General features: G+C 42.8%; 1 protein-coding gene across 28 annotated transcripts in view; it reads right to left on the bottom strand.

The window, feature by feature from the left end:
* Positions 1 to 19,993, bottom strand: part of CPM (carboxypeptidase M) — a 121,273-nt gene that overhangs the window by 22,493 nt on the left and 78,787 nt on the right. For 20 of the 28 annotated variants that reach the window (XR_001748580.3, NR_182142.1, XR_001748577.3 and 17 more), the window contains 4 exons: positions 7,095 to 7,267; positions 5,526 to 5,710; positions 4,636 to 4,806; positions 2,207 to 2,359 (listed from right to left, as the gene is read on the bottom strand). Coding sequence is in view for 21 of the 28 variants with exons in the window: in NM_001874.5 (NP_001865.1) it covers positions 2,207 to 2,359; positions 4,636 to 4,806; positions 5,526 to 5,710; positions 7,095 to 7,267 (682 nt within the window). In the remaining 7 variants the exon portion in view is untranslated. Of the gene's footprint in view, positions 1 to 2,149; positions 2,360 to 3,686; positions 4,418 to 4,635; positions 4,843 to 5,525; positions 5,711 to 7,094; positions 7,268 to 19,993 lie in introns of those variants that run through there. The other 8 variants (XR_007063051.1, NM_001413403.1, NM_001413404.1 and 5 more) reach the window with 5 other exon arrangements.

Here is a 19,993-nt window from a genome sequence, read left to right on the forward strand (position 1 = left end):
TGATACTGGTGAAGAATGAATTTCAGAAAAGGATAGGCAGAGCCAGTCACGGTGGCTCACACCTGGGATCCCAGCACTTTGGGAGGCTGAGGCAGAAGGATCGCTTGAGCCCAGGAGTTTGGGACTCACCTGGACAACATAGCAAGATTCTGTCTCTATATAAAATTGTTTAAAAAATTAGCTGGATGTGGTGCTGTGCACCTGTAGTCCTACTTACTTGGGACACTGAGGCAGAAGGATCACTTGAGCCCAGGAGTTCAAGGTACAGTGGGCAATGACTGTGCCACTGTACTCCAGCCTGGGTGACAGAGTGAGACCCTGTCTCTAAAATGATGATAATGATAATAATAGTAATAGATTAACAAACTAAAGGATCAATAGAGGTAGAAATATAATAGAAATGTTAGACTAATACATGACATGCCTCATGAGGAAAATCTAGTGGAGAAAGAATTACCAGAATACTAAGCAAGAGAGAACCCAAGACAACGTTTGATGACATAATGAAGAAGGTGAAAGTCCCAATAATAAGTTTATAATCTTTATTAAGATGCTGGTGAGAAAGAACGATATTTCATAACATCCCCTATCACAGGGAGTCAACCTAGTCCATGAACGACTCAGCCAGTTAGACATAGCCCTGTGAGTTTACCAGTAATCTTTGTGTACTTCTCTTCAGGTCAGGGCATGGAGGCTGGGGATACAGGTATGAAAGAGGGCAGGGGCATCCCTTTTAGGGATGTGTGCCGAGGAAGGGTCCTAATCATCCTTGCACTCAGCCCTCTGGCCCTGTGCTACCTTCCCTCATCCTTCTCCATCTTCTTTGTAGCAGGAGGAAAGCTTTGCTGTGAATCATGCAGAAAATTCCGGGAATTATGCAGTTATGCAGTAGGCCCATGCAGCAAACCTTTTCAACACCCACACACACCCACACACACACACACTCACACTCTCTCTCTCTCTCTCTCCATGTGGTATCATAGCTATTATGCCAATTCCTGATATGTTTCTCTCCCCAAGCCATTCTGAATGGAGAAAGATAACTTCACCTCTGTAAATATAGAAGAGCCTTCCACACCTTGCCCAAAGAGACACCACCTGGTTAATAAACTTGAACTGTACAAGATTCCATCATCATCTCTAGCAGTGTGTTTCTCTAGTGCAATGGCTTTCTAAGTATAGCCGCTGGACCAGCAGCATCAGCATCACGTGGTAAGGTGGTCCAAACAGAAACTCCGGGTTGGGGCCTGGCAATCTGTTTTAGCAAGCGCTCCCGGTGAGTCCACTGCACGTTTGAAAGCTATCACTCTCTGCCACATTTAGTCTGTCTATCTGTGATAAGGGCCAGCCAGCCTTCAGCAAACAGGCTGGCAAGATTTCTAGCACCAGGACATCTGGCAGAGTTCGGAGGTGAGAGGGGTTGAAGGTAATGGTGCTAGCTCACCACCCCAATTCTGGAAAAAATGCAAAGTGGTATGTCCAGTGTTCTCAGGGTCCTTGGTACTGCGTGGTGAGTGACAAGCAAACATAGTATTTTTCTAAATGGGAGATGATGTAACAGAGTAGCAGCCTATTTTCCTGATATTTTGCCAGATTTCTAGATCATTCAACATGTAAAATTAGGGGGACTCTGGATGTTTGTTTGTTTGTTTGTTTGTTTTTGAGATGGAGTCTTACTCTGTCACCCAGTCTGGAGTACATTGGCACCATCTTGGCTCCTTGGCGGAGGGAGCAACTTCTGCCTCCCGGGTTCAAGTGATTCTCCTGCCTCAGCCTCCCAAGTAACTGGGACTACAGGCGTGTGCCACCACGCCTGGCTAATTTTTGTATTTTCAGTAGAGATGAGGTTTCGCCTTGTTGGCCAGGCTGGTCTCGAACTCCTGACCTCAGGTGATACACCTGCCTCGGCCTCCCAAAGTGCTGGGATTACAGGCATGAGCCACCACGACCACCTGGTACTCTGGATTTTTATACCCTCATATTAAAGGAACATGCATCATGCTTCCTTTTCTATGAATGAGTGGGCACTGCATTTCTCACACACTGCAGATACTCATGCAGAGAGAATTCTTAACCATCAGATCTGGCACTGAAATGAGGCTATAACTACAAAGCATAAATAAAGGCTTGCGTTTAGTCAACCCAGAGGTCTTGCCAGATGCTCTATTTTGTATTAATAGGGAATTAATAAGAAAATTTTACAAACCTAGGTGCACCTGCTTTATATATTCAATTAATGAGGCTTTGTTATTATTCCAAAAGGATGGAAGCTTCTCCTCACGAGGATATTTACAGCATGACAGCTCCAACGTAATTTCAAAACACTGGGCCCAGATGTAGTTGTAATCTTGCATTCCACCTAAACACAAGCATATTTAATTTTTGTTAGGGTCTAAAATTGGAGTGGAGCCAAGTATCACGTGCCTCGGGGACAAATGAATCAGACAGCTACATGTAAACAGGAAAAAATGAATTTGACATATTAGCTTGTAAAATCAGGGCTTGACATTCTATTACCCAGGCGTGACTAGACAATCCTAAATATTCCCATATGGGTAACTGGATCAGAGCTGACTGAAGTTCAACTGTGCATCAAAATTAAGTGACGGGTGAAGGAAGGGTCCTTTTTTGTTTTTATTTTTTGAAATCCTACATTACAAAAATGATTCTTTGAATTTCATTTCTTTCTTAAATTACATTTTACATGGATATAAGCTAGAATAAGATTCCTTTAAAATATTTCTACAAATCATTTATAAATACACTTACTAAGCAAAGCTAAGCATGCTAATTTGGGGGAATCATGGGCCAACATTCACTATTGCCAGGTACCATATGAAGTGCTTTGTATCAGCTCATTTAATCCTCACAGCAATTGCCCCTACTTTACAGATGAGGAAACATGATCACAGATGTTAAAGAAAAGTGCTCAGGGGTTTTGGCCAGTAAATGACAGACACTGGAGTGCAGGCCACCTTCCGCCAGCACCTGTGGGCTTCCCCAATATGCCAGAGTGCTCCTGGGGATCAAAGAAAGAGTGCTGCACTGCCTCTCAGAGGTGAACGGCCCGGCCCCCTGTGGAGCCCAGGCTGCCACTGCTCATGCTGACTTTCCAGTTCTCTCCTCTGGTCCCTTACTTTCAAAGGGTTTGTTTTAAATAGCAAAACAGGCAGGCATTATGGATCCCTAGCAGATAGCCAGAACTGAGAATGCCAAGCGTGGAGGGGGCAGTTCTGGATAAGGCGGGTCAGGCCTGGCCAACAAAACATCCAGGCCAGGCCAGGCACATTCTTCTGGGCTCCTCAAGGCAGCTGGCTTCACCTGTTTTTTGTCTGAGAAGGATACACAGCTCACACACAGGCACACTGGGGAACAATTCCCAGCAGCAACCGTTTCTAGCTAATTTCCTACACATCTGGATTTGCCTTCGAAAGTTAGACAGTGAACATGAAGGACAGCTCTGCCACTGGACAGGATGGGCCCTTTCTTAGCTACAAATTGTGGAGAGCAGGGACGATGCAGAAGCCCTAAGGTAGGAGAGGGGGCTGTATCTTGGACACCAGAGAGAGGTTTGGAATGCTGCCTGGACCTGTTGCCTATCAGTTGTGGTCTATGCTTATTTATATTACCAGGAAAACTGACAGAGAGCCACCCAGGCATAAAAATACCAGCTTGTGAAAGATTACCTGAAAGCCTGTGCATCCAAAGTGACAATTAGGGAAGGCACCTTTGGAAGTGGCCTGCACGCAGAAATGCATGCCGCAACTTGCTGTTGGTGGGGTCAGGCTAACGAGTCTAAAAGGGAATGTTTTCCCCTGAGGCATGGAAATCCAGTTCCAGTCCGTCTCTCCTCCTGTCCTTCCACCCTAGGTCCCTCCTACCCCGGGTTTCTGTTTATATTATTCCCTCTAATAAGAATATCTCTCCTTCCATGTTGCCTACATGACAATCTCATCCTGTCCCTTACCCGGCTGTCTTATTCCAAGATTGGAGAACTGGGGGCCCTCCTCCCACTGTATCCTGTCTGAAGAGCTCTTTTGTTGAGCCCGCAAAATGGCTTTAAAATCATGATACTTCATGTACAAATTCAGCTTCTCTTTACAAACTGCAAGATCTGGCAGTATTGGCTCCCCAAGGCTGCATGACAATAATTAGCTAGATCTAGTAGCAGCTGTCCCTGTTAGATGGGATGTAAGCATCACATTTCTCCAAGCTCTTCACTACTCCCTATTGTATTTTGGCTCTGTGCACCCTTGGGGTACACTGCACCTTCTCTAAATCTGTTTTTATTCTAATTGCACTGCTATCACAATTACTTATCTGCGTGTCTGTCTCCCCTATTCAACTCCAGGGTGAGGTGTGTGTCTTGTTCATCTTTCAGTTCCTGGCTCACAGTAGGCAGACACAGAATAAGTACCTGAATGAATGAAGAAGGCCCTTGGTAATGAGGAACATGTCTGAGCATCTCTCAAACAATCAGTCATCTCCACTGCTCTTATGATATTAGCTGATAAGGACAGAGTGAAGGGCCTATTGTGCCTAAAGTTCTTTTAACAACTGCTGGATCAAAATAAACCAGCTGGCACTTCTGGGTGAAGGCAATAAGGAGAATGGAAGAAATGAAGAGAAACTCACCTTGGAGTGGATACCAAGAGTATCCATTTGTAACACCATTAGGAAAGTTCATTTTGTTTTTACACTCGTCTCCTTTCTTCATGTTGGGATTTCTTGAAGCATAGGTATGTGCAAGATATTGAAAAACATCATCATCAGGCGTTAAGCTTCGGGAGTATAATGCCCCAGTTGCTGCATTTAAAAGATGAACCAAGACCTTTAAACTGACTTGAGAGTAAGAGGAAACACAAACACCATATTAGCAAAGACATAATCGCATCACACACACATGCTCTAATTTCCCTAGAGAGAAATCCTTCATCCACCTCCTCTATTCTTCTTTCTACTTTATAATAAACATATGCAAGGTGATAGCCCCCAAATAAGTCAGATACAAATCCAAACTCCTAAATCAGCTTAAAAATTAAGTGTCCTCTCAGTCACTCTTGCTAATTTCTGGAGGTAAGGACAATTTCTTTAGGTATTATAGGGGTGAATAAAGCTACTGTAATATTTTGGGTCCTCATCCCACAGAGTTTTAAGAAGAGTCAACAATTATTGTTCATATATGATTAGCAAAAAAAAAAGTGAGTTGTTCCAGTTTTATGTTATTTTAGCCATGTTGTCTCTTGTCAGAGAATCAAAATCTGACTATTTAGATTGTATTTTCTAGAATCTAAATTTCACTAATTCACTGATGCATGTCCAGCTGTGGGTTGTCAGTTCAGCCACACTGCCCATCTGCTGTTGAAGAATCACAGGAAGGATGGCTAGAGTTGGGAACATGAAGCTCTTTTCACCCTGCCAGAGAAGTTAAGAGGGGAAGGGAGAGCTGATCCCCATCCAGAGGCAGAGAGTTTTCAGCCCCACTCTGGACTTAAGAAGCCAGAACTGGACCCGCACCTGCTTACCTTGAACACCATTATCAAATGGGTAACTGGCCACGAGGGCACCACCATGGAGGTTTGCAGAGAGGACAAACGTCTCTGTTTTCAGCCACTTCATGACTGCCACAGTTTCAGGCTGCCTTGAGACATTATTATATTCAAAAGCATCGGGGAAATTTCGATTCAAGTCATACTGGTTATAATTTTCCCTTTAAAAGAAAGAATATTTTAGGGCTTATTGATAGGGCATGAGGGAGTGGATTCTTACAGTGTCTTGCCCTTTGGTTTAGGCTCCAGGTGTCTTTCCAAACGTGAGTATGGGTGTGGTGGATGGCTGCCCTTGTGGCCTGCCATGACCCACACCTGGCACTTACATCCCATGGCATCCCCTGCCTCGTGATCTGCTCTCACCAATGAGATACTAGCTATTGTGATGCAGGCAGAGGTTTGATAAGTGTTTGTATTTGGGACTTCTGCTCTTAGATGCTCCCTTTTGGGACCTTGAGATCCCAATGGTCGCCACGTGGAGAGTCCACGGAGAGTCCATGGCTCCAGGTAAATTGTCTCAGAAAGACCAGAGCTGAGCCCCAGACCTGTGGCACGGACAGTAGCCATCCCTGCTCTGCCCTGCCCAAATTCCTGACCTATGGAATCAACAGTAAATAAAAAGGCTGTTGCTTTAAGTCGCTAATTTTGGGGTGGTTCGTTAAGTAGCAACTGATAACAGAAACAACACTAAACACATTACACAGAAGTACTTGTGAAACGTGGAACAGCCATGTTTAAATATATTTGAAAAACTTAAAATTGGAGGGAATCAAGTGGTGAGATTTTGTTCAGCTTTGGTAAAGCAAACACATATATGTAAATTGCATACATATGAATGTATATTAGACATCTGAGAAATTCCAAACCTCCCAAGGCAGCTTGAAACAAAATAAACTGTTTAAATCAGAGCTCCTTCAAGACCCGTTCTTGCTTATGGTTAGTTCTTGGACTACTGGCCTAATAAATCAACCGGTCATTACCAAGGGCCTGGGTGCTCTGCCAGGCACTGCGGATCTAACAACGACAAACACAATGGACAGGATTCCTGCCTGCAGGTAGCTTGCAGTGTAGTGGGGGGAGAGACATGAAGCAAGAAATTAGATATTAAAAGTTGTGCTCTGACAGTAAAGTGCCAGGTGATGTGAGAGTTTATCAGGGGATCTAGTGTATGACAGGTCGAGAGAAAGAGTCTTGGAGGAAATGCTATTTAGGCAGGGAAACGGTGTGTGTAAAATGCTGAGGTAAGAAAGCACCTGGTACTTCCAGGAAGGAGGCCTAGAGGGGAGGAGGCAGGGGAGAGAGAAGGAGTGGCAAATGAAGATGGAGAGGCTAGGTGGGCACCGGGGCAAAGTAGCCTTATTTGCATTTCTTCCTGCAAGCCGGAGGCAGCCCTGATGTGCCTTGAGCTTTGGCACATCAGCGACATGACACCGGCTCTGAGGGCTCTCACCATGACACATCTCCTCTTGCCAAGGCCAACAGGTGCCTGTCGGGAGCCTTTGTGTTGTGTTGTTTTCAAGTAAAGATAGACCAGCCCCTCTTTACCTTCCGATGCTGTAATAACAGTCAGGCTTTTTGACGGCTTCAAATCCATCTGGGTTCATGGAAGGCATGATGTGTATCCGGGTACTATTGATCAGATTTGTGATTTCAGGGTCTTTGCCATCACTGGTTACGAGATAGTCAATCAGATGGAGCAGCAGCTCCCGCCCAACAGTCTATATGTGTTAAAGAGAAAAGAGGACATTATTAGGTCAGAGGCAATAAGGAAAGCACTCCCTACGGTACAAATTCCCCAATAGGGGTCTCTACACATGATATCTCAGACCCAAACTAGTTTGTAAGATCACTCTTTCTCAAGCATGCTTATGCTCTGCCAAGTGGCCATCAGGTGGCGATCAGTCCTGAGGTATGCTGAAAAATGCTAGTAAGAGTGAAAGTACCTATTTGTAAATAGTTTACATATTGCAAAAATGAATTAGAGTGGAATAATGCTGCTGCTGCTGCTGCTTCCTTTTTTTTTTTTTTTTTTTGAGACAGTCTCAACTCCGTCACCCAGGCTGGAGTGCATTGGCGCGATCTTGGCTCATTGCAACCTCCGCCTCCTGGGTTCAAGCGATTCTCTTGCCTCAGCTTCCTGAGTAGCTGGGATTACAGGCGTGTGCCACCACGCCCAGCTAATTCTTGTATTTTTAGTAGAGATGGGGTTTCACTATGTTGGCCAGGCTGGTCTTGAACTCCTAACCTCAAGTGATCCACCTGCCTCAGACACCCAAAGTGCTGGGATTACAGGCATGAGACACTGCGCCCGGCCGCAATAATGATTCTTACAACATTTTTCATTTGGTTGCCTTCCAAAGTATCTTCTGGAGTGGGAGAGCAAGAGGTTGAGTTACAGAGAAGCACAGGAATCACGTATTTCCATGAGAATGCATGGTGCATATGAAGCTTATCATGTATGTATTGGTGGATAACAGACTTAAAATCATCACATTGTAGATTTTTTTTTTTTTAAGACAGGGTCTTGCTATGTTGCTAAGGCTGGCTTCCAACTCCTGAGAAACTTCATATCATTATCACTTTTCTAGATATATATTTCTAATATATATTAAGTAAAAGCATGACTATTAAAATGTTAAAAGCTGTCATATCCACCTAAATTAGCTTGCAGTATCAATAAGGCTTGGGAAACTGAAGGCCTGTGAGAGAACTTGCTTTATAATCCCTCCCCAGGAGAGAGAGTCATTATTTTTCTTATTTAAAAAAAGTAATTTAAATGTCAGCCTTATCATAGGAAGATCTGCTTAGACTACATCAAATTCTCCCTATCATTTTAGGTTCAAGGAATCTGCTTCAGAAGAACAGATGTTGTTGAGGGGTTAGTAAATGAGAACTCAGGGGCAGCAGGTGAGAAAATCAGGAGAGTGCTGCAGGCACATTCATGTAGACACTGTGCAAGAAAAGATTTCATGGAGCCTCAGAAGAATTTCCAGTCATGATTTCACTGTAGGACTTCAACATTGTGACAAAGGATAAGCGGTCCTTGGATGACCACTTCTCACTTGATTCCCTCACTGGCACATAAAGAGACCACATTTTAAACATTTGTTATCCTAATGAACACAGAATAATTGAAATTGGGACTAAGAAAATTTGGGGCTGGTGGCAGTGGCTCATGCCTGTAATCTCAGCACTTTGGGAGGCTAAGGCGGAGCCCAGGAGTTTGAGACCAGCCTGGGCAATATAGCGAGATCCCATCACTACATAAAATAAGAAATTAGCCAGGCATGGTGACACAGACCTATGGCCCCAACTACTCAGGAGGCTGAGGTAGGAGGATCGCTTGTGCTGCCCAGGAGGTTGAGGCAGCAGTGAGAAGAGATCGCACCACTGCATTCCAGCATGGGTGACAGAGTGAGACCCTGTCTCAAAAAAAAAAAAAAAAAAGAAAGAAAGAAAATTTGGGATATATGAATTATAGATTCATAGGCAACCATAAAATTTAGAGTCAGATTATGTCCAATCCTGACTTCAACTTTTTTTCCTACTCATTTTTTATCTTCCTCTTCCACTACCTTTTTTTTTGAGACAGAGTCTCACTCTGTCACCCAGGCTAGAGTGCAGTGGCACCATGTTGGCTCACTACAACCTCCGTCTCCTGGATTCAAGCAATTCTCCTGCCTCACCCTCCCAAGTAGCTGAGATTACAGGTGCCCACCAGCATGTCTGGCTAATTTTGATATTTTTAGTAGAGACAGGGTTTCACCATGTTGGCCAGGCTGGTCTCGAACTCCTGACCTCAGGTGATCTGCCTGCCTCAGCCTCCCAAAGTGCCGGGATTACTGTGTGAGCCACCGCGCCCGGCCAGATTTTTGTTTTTATAGTCAAAATTGTCACTGGAAAAAGTCCTTACAAGCTAATAACCAAAAAAGTCACTTGTACACCCCACTGGGTTCCAATTTTAAGATATAATAGGTTTTTGAAGGTCCAGCACCTTTGGAAGTAACCTTGATGAGCTACTTATGACCTCCCCTAAAGCCAGTGGGGAGGAGCTGGTAACATAAAACTGTGACAGTAACTTTAAATGTGAAAAGGGGCTGGGCGTGGAGGCTTAAGCCTGTAATCCCAGCACTTTGGGAGGCCGAGGTGGGTGGATCACCCGAAGTCAGGAGTTTGAGACCAGCCTGGCCAACATGGTGAAACCCCATCTCTACTAAAAATACAAAAATTAGCTGGGCATGGTGGCAGGTGACTGTAATCCCCACTACTCAGGAGGCTCAGGCACAAGAATCGCTTGAACCTAGGAGGCGGAGGTTGCAATGAGCCGAGATCGCGCCACCAGCTTGGGTGACAGAGTGAGACACACCATCTCGAAAAAAAACCAAAAAAATGTGAAAAAGATCGTTGGTTTAAGAAGCTTTCTCAGAAGGGTTTGGGGAGGAATAGGTACAGGAAGGTGAGGAGGAAGTGACCAGGAGTCCCATAGTTCCTTAAATGTCTAAATGCTGGTTAGAGGCCATAGTATGGTTCAATCGGCAAAAATCCCTGGCCTATCTGAGTCCCAAGTCAAGAACAGAGAGGAAGTGATATCAGAATCCCCATGTGACTCTAAATGTGAATTTGTCTCTTAGCTATCTGAATCATACACTCTCCAGCATGCAAACAATCACGACACGAGTTGGCAATGAAATTCACCCAACCGAAAGAAAGTGAAAAGGAAGAGTAAAGAAACCATGATTAGGAGGCTAGGTTGAGTTGGTATTCTGTTAGATACAGAATTAGATTAAGCAGTCTTGGTAGTATGGGTATAGAACAAAATATAAAAGTTGAGGCCGGGCACGGTGGCTCATGCCTGTAATCCAAGCACTTTGGGAGGCTGAGGTGGGCAGATCACCTGAGGTCAGGAGTTGGAGACCAGCCTGGGCAACATGGTAAAACCTCGTCTCTACTAAAAATACAAAAATTAGCCGGGCATGGTGGTGGGCACCTGTAGTCCCAGCTACTCGGGAGGCTGAGGCAGGAGAATCGCTTGAACCTGGGAAGCAGAGGTTGCAGTGAGCCGAGATTGTGCCATTGCACTCCATCCAGCCTAGGCAACAGAGCAGGACTCCACCTCAAAAAAAAAAGAAGTTGAGGGAGAAATTTTCAAAGTGTTAATTACTTCACATTTCATAGTAAGGGGACATAAAATACTATCAAAAGTTAAAATATATACACATAAAATGACTACAATTTCAAAGTTTTTAATAATCTTTTTTCTTAACTTTAGAAAAATCTGATCATCAAGCTGGGCGCGGTGGCTCATTCCTATAATCCCAGCACTTTGGAAGGCTGAGGCAGGCAGATCGCCTGAGGTAGGGAGTTCGAGACGAGCCTGGCCAGCATGGTGAAACCCTGTCTCTACTAAAAACATAAAAATTAGCCAGGTGTAGTGGCAGGTGCCTGTAATCCCAGCTACTCGGGAGGCTGAGGCAGGAGAATCGCTTGAACCTGGGAGTTGGAGGTTGCAGTGAGCCGAGATTATACCACTGCACTCTAGCCTGGGCAACAGCGAGACTCTGTCTCAAAAAAAAAAAAAAAAGAAAGACAAATGTGATAATCAATTTCTTATTTTGAGAAAGCATCAATTTCACCAGTTATTTTAGTTTCACTTCAGTTTTATTCTTCTGTTAATTCAAATAAAATAAAATTTCATACAATATAACATATGAGACATTTTATTTTATATTCTTTTAATTCCTCTCATTCTCTTACTACAGAAATATATAGATGTCTACAATGATGTCTGACAAATATTAATGATGGCTATTTCTGGGTACAGTATTCTGAATGATTTTTATTTCCTCTTATTCTTTTTAAAGAAAACCTATGTCATTTTTACAAAAATAATAAAATCATGATTCTTTCAGGGAAACAAGTATGTAACCAAAGTATTTTTTGTGTGTCTCAATAGTCCACAACAAATCACAAGTTCTCAATTGCAAGGGTAAATAAAAATCTTGAAAATAAGATAAAGAACCAACTAAGCATCAGATAATTTTTTAAATGCTGAGATAAACAGATGAAATTTCAGAGGCAGTTAAACAAAATCCTCCTTTCTTTTTGGGCCATCTTTTCCTGCCTCTGTAACAGCAGATTTATGCCAAATATTATTCAAATTAATTCTTCCCAACCTTAATATAAATGTTTCAAACACTCATTCATGTTTTATGTATAAACCTCCCTTCATTGAAAATTAAGTCTTTGACAGGAAACCCTGGAGAGTCCAAATTTTAAAAAAGAATGTGGTCAAAAGAGTCTCCAATTGCCCAGGCAGCCTTTCACCCAGCATGCTGGCTTCCTTCCTGTGAGAGCACAGACTTCAGGGAGAAGCCCTCATGAAGAAACGGGGGCCTGATGGACACACCGGCCTCCGGAGACTCTCACTCCATCTCCTTCATCCGGTGGTTAAAATGGCAGTCACCCAGAAAGCAGAAAATACATTCTCTATCAGCTGCAGTTCAATTCAGTCAAGTTGGAATTTGCCACACAGATACAAATGAGTGTTCTGGTTCTTCACAGAATGTTTATTAAAAAAAACAGAAAAAAATTTTTGAAGGAACAATCTACAACCCAGGCAGTGTTGTGTGGTGTGTGTGTGTGTGCACGCGCATGCGTGTGTGTGTGTGTGTGTGTGTGTGTGAGAGAGAGAGAGAGAGAGAATCTTCAGCTATCCTAACAATGGAATCTGTTTTTGAAATGCTACCCTGTGATGCAGCTTCTGGGGGGAAAGTCATCGGGCTGTGGGGCTCCACAGTGGTGTGTGTGTTATAGATTTAAGTTATTTGTCTGACCTGCCTAGCTAATCCTTCTTCTTCAAATATCAGCCTAAACATGACATTTATCTAGCATACTTTTCTTGACCTCCCAAGTCTGGGTTCACCATGACACCTGTGTTATCTAATGCGGGTCACACACGTTACAATCACTTGGCTGACCTTGACTGACCTCCCTTTCTCTAACTCCACCATCGAAGCCCCGAAGTCAGGGACCTTCACGGTTTTTCTCTGTATCCCTGTGTTCTTGGTGTAGCTTGTCCAGCTCCTGGTATATCATGTATTCAATAAATAATTGCTAATAAACTACTGTTGAAAATTCATTATAAGATCAAGACTATCCTGAGGAAGAACTTTCTGAAATTCACATGAGGACTTAAGGTGCTTTGTAAGGGGAGATGTACAAATGATCAAGCTATTTTATCTGAAGGATTTTTAAATACCGAACACATTTTATAGAGGCACAGGCTAACAATTACGCTCATGACAGGGACTTGGGATATCTGGTCACCAAACAGTTCATTAATTTAAAACATGCTTAAAATGAATTAGATATTTCACCTGGAAAACAATGAGCTCTGCCTAAATCTAAAAAGAAAGAATTTAATTATTCAAACCACAGAGCGTTACTGAGGACATTTTACTATCACCTGAGGATAGTGGTAGGAAAAGGAGCTTGGGCAGCGGCATTTAGAAAGACAAGCTTTAATGTTGTGTTTTGGTTTAATGATAAGTTGGGAACCTCTACTGCATGTTGACTGTACTTCCCAGATTTTCCAGAACGGCCATAATTTCAGATATTGTGTCCCACTGTCTGCGTAAACCATTAAAATACCCCCTAAGTAAAACATTTAGACATGCAAACTACATCTCATCAACTGTCTCTTATACTTAGAAGGTGTGTGAAAGTCATTTATCCTTTATCTCTTTATTTTCAGGTTGACAAATATGGCCACTATTACCCAGGGAATGTTTTCTCTTTTCAACCTATATTTCTGGAATACAATAAACTATAAACCAATGCCACAATCATAAAATTCTAAATGTGATGCGAATTTTTCAAAAGTGAAACTGCCTTTGCAAAAATCATAACAGTGAGAAAATTATGGCAATGAAAGAGATCTGATGAAACCAACTCCATCTTGCGTCTAACCTTCAAGCTGTCCTTGTTCATTCCTGGGCATAGGCTAAACTAACATAGTTCATAGTTTAACTTTGAAACAAAGATGATAATAGCCTTTTCCTGAATGTAGGACTAACAAATTAGCCACAAGATTAGAAATTATGGCTTAGGAGTTATGCAGCCAGAGGCCACAAGATTCCAAGCCTCCCCAATTGCTCAGAGGGATAATATCACTATTGTAAAACCTAAGATATTTTTTAGACCCTGCACTGGATGGATCTGCTGGCACCACCCACATCGATAAACTGGCTCATCTGGTCTTGTGGCCCCCACCCAGGAACTGACTCAGCACAAGAGGACAGCTTTGACACCCTATGATTTCGTCTCCGACCTGACCAATCACCACTCCCCACTGTCTCTCCCCCAACCCACAAAATTATCCTTAAAAACTCCCAGTCTCTGAATTTTTGGGGAGACTGACTTGAGTAATAGTAAAACTCCGGTCTCCTGTTTAGTTGGCTTTGCATGAATTAAACTCTTTCTCTATCGCAATTCCCCTGTCTTGATAAATCTGCTCTATCTGGACAACAGGCAAAATGAACCTGTTGGGCAGTTACAAAAGCCCATATTAAGTCTATCTTAGTAAAAATACTTCATTGCTCTTTAAGAAACTAAGGCTTAAAAAAATTCCTACCCCCCATCTCCCCAAAAAAGCAGAATTGCAATTTAGGCTGGGCGCAATGGCTCAAGCCTGTAATCCCAACACTTTGGAAGGCCAAAGCCAGAGGATCGCTTGAGGCCAGGAGTTTGAGAACAGTCTGAGCAACACTGTGGGACCCCATCTCTACAAAAAATAAAAAACTTAGCCTGGTGTGGTGGCACACACCTCTAGACCTAGCTATGTGGGAGGCTGAGGCAGGAGGATTGCTTGGACCCAGGTGTTTGAGGTTACAGTGAGCCATGATCACACCAATGCATTCTAGCCTGCGTTACAGAGCGAGATCCCAACTCTAAAATAAAAAATAATTGCAATTTAGTTAAATTATTTTACAAGCATATTCAATAGTTACTCCTACAGTACAGTATTTAAGACCCTTGGCACTGAGGTCAAGGAAACCTGGGTTTGAACCCAGGCTCTGACCTATGATACTTTGCTTAATGTTACTAGGGTTGGCTTAAAACTCTAGGCATTCAATTCTTTTTTTAAGACAGGGTCTTGCTTTGTCACCCAGGCTGAAGTACAGTGGTGTGATCATGGCTCACTGCAGCCTCGACCTCCCAGGCTCAAGCAATCCTTCCACCTCAGCCTCCTGAGTAGCTGGGACCACAGGTATGCACCACCCCACCTAGCTAATTTTTAAATTTTTTTTTAGAGACAAGGTCTTACTATGTTTCTCAGGCTAGTCTTGAACTCCTGGCCTCAAGCAATCTCCCCAGCTTGACCTCCCAAAGTGATGGGATTATAAGTATGAGCCACCATGCCTGGCCTGGGCACCCAATTCTTTAAGCACACAGTCATGCCTTGCTTCAATATTTCCATTAGGCAGGAATTAAAGATGTCTTACCAACCTAGAGATTACCCAAGAAAAGTATTTTTTCTGCAAAATTTGAAAAACATGGGATAGAAGATAAGCACAAAACAAAGAGTAGGGAGGGCTGGGGAAGATTTTCCCAGGCTTCTCTTCTGCATCCACATTTAGGCTGAGGATGTTAGATGCTCCTGGTTTCAGGGCATGGTCCCAGTTTTCAGTATAGCTCTGATTTTAGAGTATTGGTTATAGTTTACTACACACCAAGCCAGGAGCAGAATGAGGTGATGGGGGAAGGTGAGGGGACAAGGATCCTGTTCCCAGGCAATCTGAATATCTGTAGCATACAGGAATGGCAGAGAACCCCATTCAGCCTGCACTGGCATCAACCCTTCCAATTAAAAAAAAAAGATTCAACTGTAGGTATGCCAAGTGATGCCAATTAGGAGCTTGCGTAAATTAAACCTAGAATTGAGGCTTCAATCCAACATGCCAATATGTGTGCAAATAATGTGTGTGCCTGGATGAACCAGAAAAACACCTACTAGTCTTATTAAAATGAGAAAGAACCCCAGAAATGTTTCTCCCATGCTGCTCCAAAAAATGAATAAACATCGGTGACAAAGGCTCACCACGAGTGCTATGTCTGTCAGCTCCCCAGCAGTCAAGGAGAGAGAAGTGAAGAGTAGGGGAAAGAAAGGGACAGGTAGGTGACTGGAAGATACTTATTCCAGTGTTGCCCTCCAAGAGCTTGTTACTCTTTTACATAACAGCAAGCCCAAATCCTCTCACCAAATGGTGCTGCAACAACTTAGTATCCATCCCAGTGAAATTAATTTGAGATAGATCATAGATCTATACTTAAGAATGAAAACCATAAAACAGAACATTTTAAAAACAGAGAAGAGAGAGTAAAGGAGTGGATCCACAGCTGGGCAAAGCTTGGTGTTCAGGCTCCGGGTTCCCACAGCTGGTGACCAAGCATAAACCTGGGCCCCCTTCATGGTACATGGGACTAATAAACATGCCTTCTGCAGAGGTGATCCAAAGAAACGAGGCCTAAAATGCACTTATTGTCATCTGTGCTCCATAAATGTTAGCTATTGTTATTATTTTCTTGTAAAGCACTGTTTGAGGAGGCAACTTGCCAGCCTGATTAATGTGGCATAGTGAGCCTGTGCCATAGAAAGCATGTGAGACAATGGAAGGTCACTGAAGACAAGAAAAATATCTACAGTATGAGCCATGATCCTAGTAGAACAATGACCTTTGCAAGAATAAGAGAATACGTGAAATTCATGCAAAATGAGGAGTGAGTTTAACTTTACTTATTTTGTAACAATACTTGGCTGAAAATGGGCCATTTTAAGTTGATTTTGCTACCCGGAGTTTGCTTTTGGCATTCCTGAGTGTAGCCAGGTGAATTAGCCTGAACCCTCAGCATCAATCAAATGAACCTATCGTCACAACTCCTAAGATGTGTATTAGCCACATTAAATTCAACAAACCTTTAGATTTAATTTCCAGTTTGAAGTAAAGTCAGGGACTAGAGGTACAACTGCAGTGATACTATAAAGAAGCAAACCAAAAATCCAGAATATGTGGCATTCTACAGGGCAGACAACTGATTGGGCTCTTTATCAAGCCTAGTATCATAATAAAAAGATACTGGATTAAATGAGATCCAAGAGATCCAACATATCCACTAAATGCGATGCATGAGCCAGGACTGGATCCTGATTTGGGTAATTTTAGAGACATTTGAGGACAATTGGAGAAACTAGAAAGTGGGGGATAAGATAAAGATAGGATAAAGATTTATTGGTACAAAAAGGTAGCTAGTATTTACTTAAAAGTGTTGCAAATAGCATATCTCTTTTGGTAAAAGTACATGCACACACAAATATCTGGAAAAACAAATAAGAAATTAAGAGCACTAATTTTGGGAAGGTCAGTATATAATGTTTTGTTTATACTTTTTCTAACATGAACATATGTTGATTTTGTAATAATTTTTTTTTCTTTTTTTTTTTTTGAGACAGTCTCACTCTGTCGCCCAGGCTGGAGTGCAGTGGCATGATCTTGGCTCACTGCAACCTCTGCCTTCTGGGTTCAAGTGATTCTCCTGCCTTAGCCTACCAAGTAGCTGGGATTACAGGCACCCACAACTGCACCCAGCTAATTTTTTGTATTTTTAGTAGAGATGGGGTTTCACCATGTTGGCCAGGCTGGTCTTGAACTCCTAAACTCAGGTGATCCACCCACCTCAGCCTCCCAAAATGCTGGGATTACAGGCGTGAGCCACCACGCCCGGCCTGCTTTTTTTTTTTTTTTTTTTTTTAACATTTATTTTAAAAATAAATGTTACAAGTGCAGATTGGTTCTATAGGTAAATGTTACAAGTGCAGGGGTACAAGTGCAGATTGGTTCTATAGGTAAATTGTGTGTTGTGGGGATTTGGTGTATGGATTATTTCATCACCCAGTTAATAAGCATAGTATCTAACAGGTAGGTTTTTATCCTCACCATCCTCCCACCCTCCATCCTCAAGTAGATGCTGGTAGCTATTGTTCCCTTCTTTGTGCCCATGTGTATCCAATGTTTAGTTCCCACTTATAAGTGAGAACATGTGGTTTTTGATTTTCTGTTTAGTTTGCTTATAGATCTTGTTCTATAAGCAAGTGCATGATCTTGTTCTTTTTTCATGGCTGCATAGTATTCCACGATGTATATGTACCATGTTTTCTTTACCCAGTCTACCATTGGTGGGCATCTAGACTAACCCTATGTCTTTGCTATTGTGAATAGCGCTGCAATGAACATACGTGTGAATGTGTCTTTATGGCAGACCAATTTATATTCCTTTGGGTATATATTGGGATTGCTGGGTTGAATCGTAGTTCTGTTTCAAGTTCTTTGAGAAATCACCACACTGCTTTCCACAGTGGATGAACTAATTTACATTCTCACCAGCAGTGTGTAAGTGATCCTTTTTCTCTGCAGCCTCATCAGCATCTGTTATTTTTTGACTTTTTATTAATAGCCATTCTGACTGGTATGAGATGATATCTCATTGTGGTTTTTGATTTGCATTTCTCTGATCATTAGTGTTGTTAGACACTTTTTCATATGCTTTTTGGCCACCAGACAATTTCTAATTTAAAAAAAGACCCAATTCTAAAACAAGGCATAAATAAGTAAAATAAAAATACATGGGGGAAAATGGCAGGTGTAATCAGCAGAGCTGAGTCTCCCTGATGCAGCTGATGCTTCCTGTCATCTAGCCATAGTATTAAGTGTGGAAACACACACACAAACACACACACACGCACAGTGGGGGTGGGGTCCCATTTTAAAAATAGTGTGGCCAATTCTGTCCACCCTGCCACTCAGTGTGTATGTGTTCCCTGCTGGGATTCTCCACCTAAGGTCCATAAACTCCTAGGTAATCCACAGACCCTGAAGTCAGGTCAAATTTATAACAGAATAGCAAGGAATACACCAAAAAAGGTTAAGAATCACTGCCCTAAAATGTTAGCTCTGTTGCTTCTTAAAAATGCTTTCAATTTCAAAAGATCTATGGGAGGAAAAAGGGGGTTGTTATATCCTGTATTCAGAAGGACTTCTCTGCTCCAATGTTAAGCCATCACTTTCTTCAGCTCCTAGCGGCATGGGGAGGACAGAATAGATAAGGTCTCAAATTCAGAATAATAAATTTCTTACTAGCCCCATAGAGCCCCCAGACATTGCCACGAGCTGGGTCACATAAGGGGGTAAAAGTGCTTCAGATTCCCACCCCAAAATACACTGGGACTTTTCCCCGCTGCCTAGTCTCAGCCCTCAGCATTTCTCAAAGAATCAGAGCGCACTAGCGAGCCCTGATTTGAACGATACACCAGACAACAAGATGCCAGAAATTTAGGAAAGTGCATGGAAAGAATAAACAAATTCGGGGGTAGGGGACGGAAAGGACTCTTGCTTATCTTTGGGAGTTTCAGTTCTGAGGACTAATTTCTGAGTAGATAGCTGGAACCTCTGAAATGCCAGCAATAAAAAAACTACTAAAGACAATGAATGCCATATGTCTCTTGTTACAAATGCATTCTGAGTCAGGCGCGGTGGCTCACACCTGTAATCCCAGCACTTTGGGAGGCTGAGGCGGGCGGATCACCTGAGGTCAGGGGTTCGAGACCAGCTTGGCCAAAATGGTGAAACCCCCATCTCTACTAAAAAAAAAAAAAAATACAAAAAAAAATTAGCTGGGCATAGTGGTGCATGCCTGTAGTCCCAACTACTCAGGAGGCGGAGGCAGGAGAATTGCTTGAACCTTGTAGGCGGAGGTTGCAGTGAGCCGAGATCATGCCATTGCACTCCAGCCTGGGAGACAAGAGCGAAATTCCATCGGAAAAAAAAAAAAAAAAAAAAAAGCATTCTGAGGGACCTTGATCAAGGGACCTCGATCAATAGACAAGATAGCAAAAGGGAAACGCAGTCTGAGCTGCTGTCTATAACGAACAGTTGTTTTATTAAAACTAACTTTGGTCAGACTCCTTGCAACGTAGTCTTTTTTAAAGAAGCCGCCCGTGATGCTCAAAAAGTCACAGATGGGCTAAACTTGCACCCACCCCAAAATCGGGTTCAAAAACTTATTCCTTTGCTAGGGGCAGGTGCTTGCATCTTAGCTGCAGCTGCAAGAAGTATCCTCTCTCAGCAGGACAGGTTGGGCAGCATGCCTGGCAAGGGCAGGCGGAGTGTACCATGAAGGGTAGATCCAGTTCCTATAGAGTTTGGGGAGGGCTTAAGCCAGAACAGGAAGCTCAGCACTGATTAGAGCATGCCACCCATACTATTGCAAATCCAGAAGTGTTTTAACAAGTCAGCAGGTAGTACTTATTGGAATATGTATGTAAATGAGAAAGTCCCTAAAGTTATAAGTTGTGTTTTACAGGGTAATACCCACATTCCTGTGCAAAGTTT

Source organism: Homo sapiens, chromosome 12 (assembly GCF_000001405.40).
Source record: "Homo sapiens chromosome 12, GRCh38.p14 Primary Assembly".
Taxonomy (NCBI): domain Eukaryota; kingdom Metazoa; phylum Chordata; class Mammalia; order Primates; family Hominidae; genus Homo; species Homo sapiens.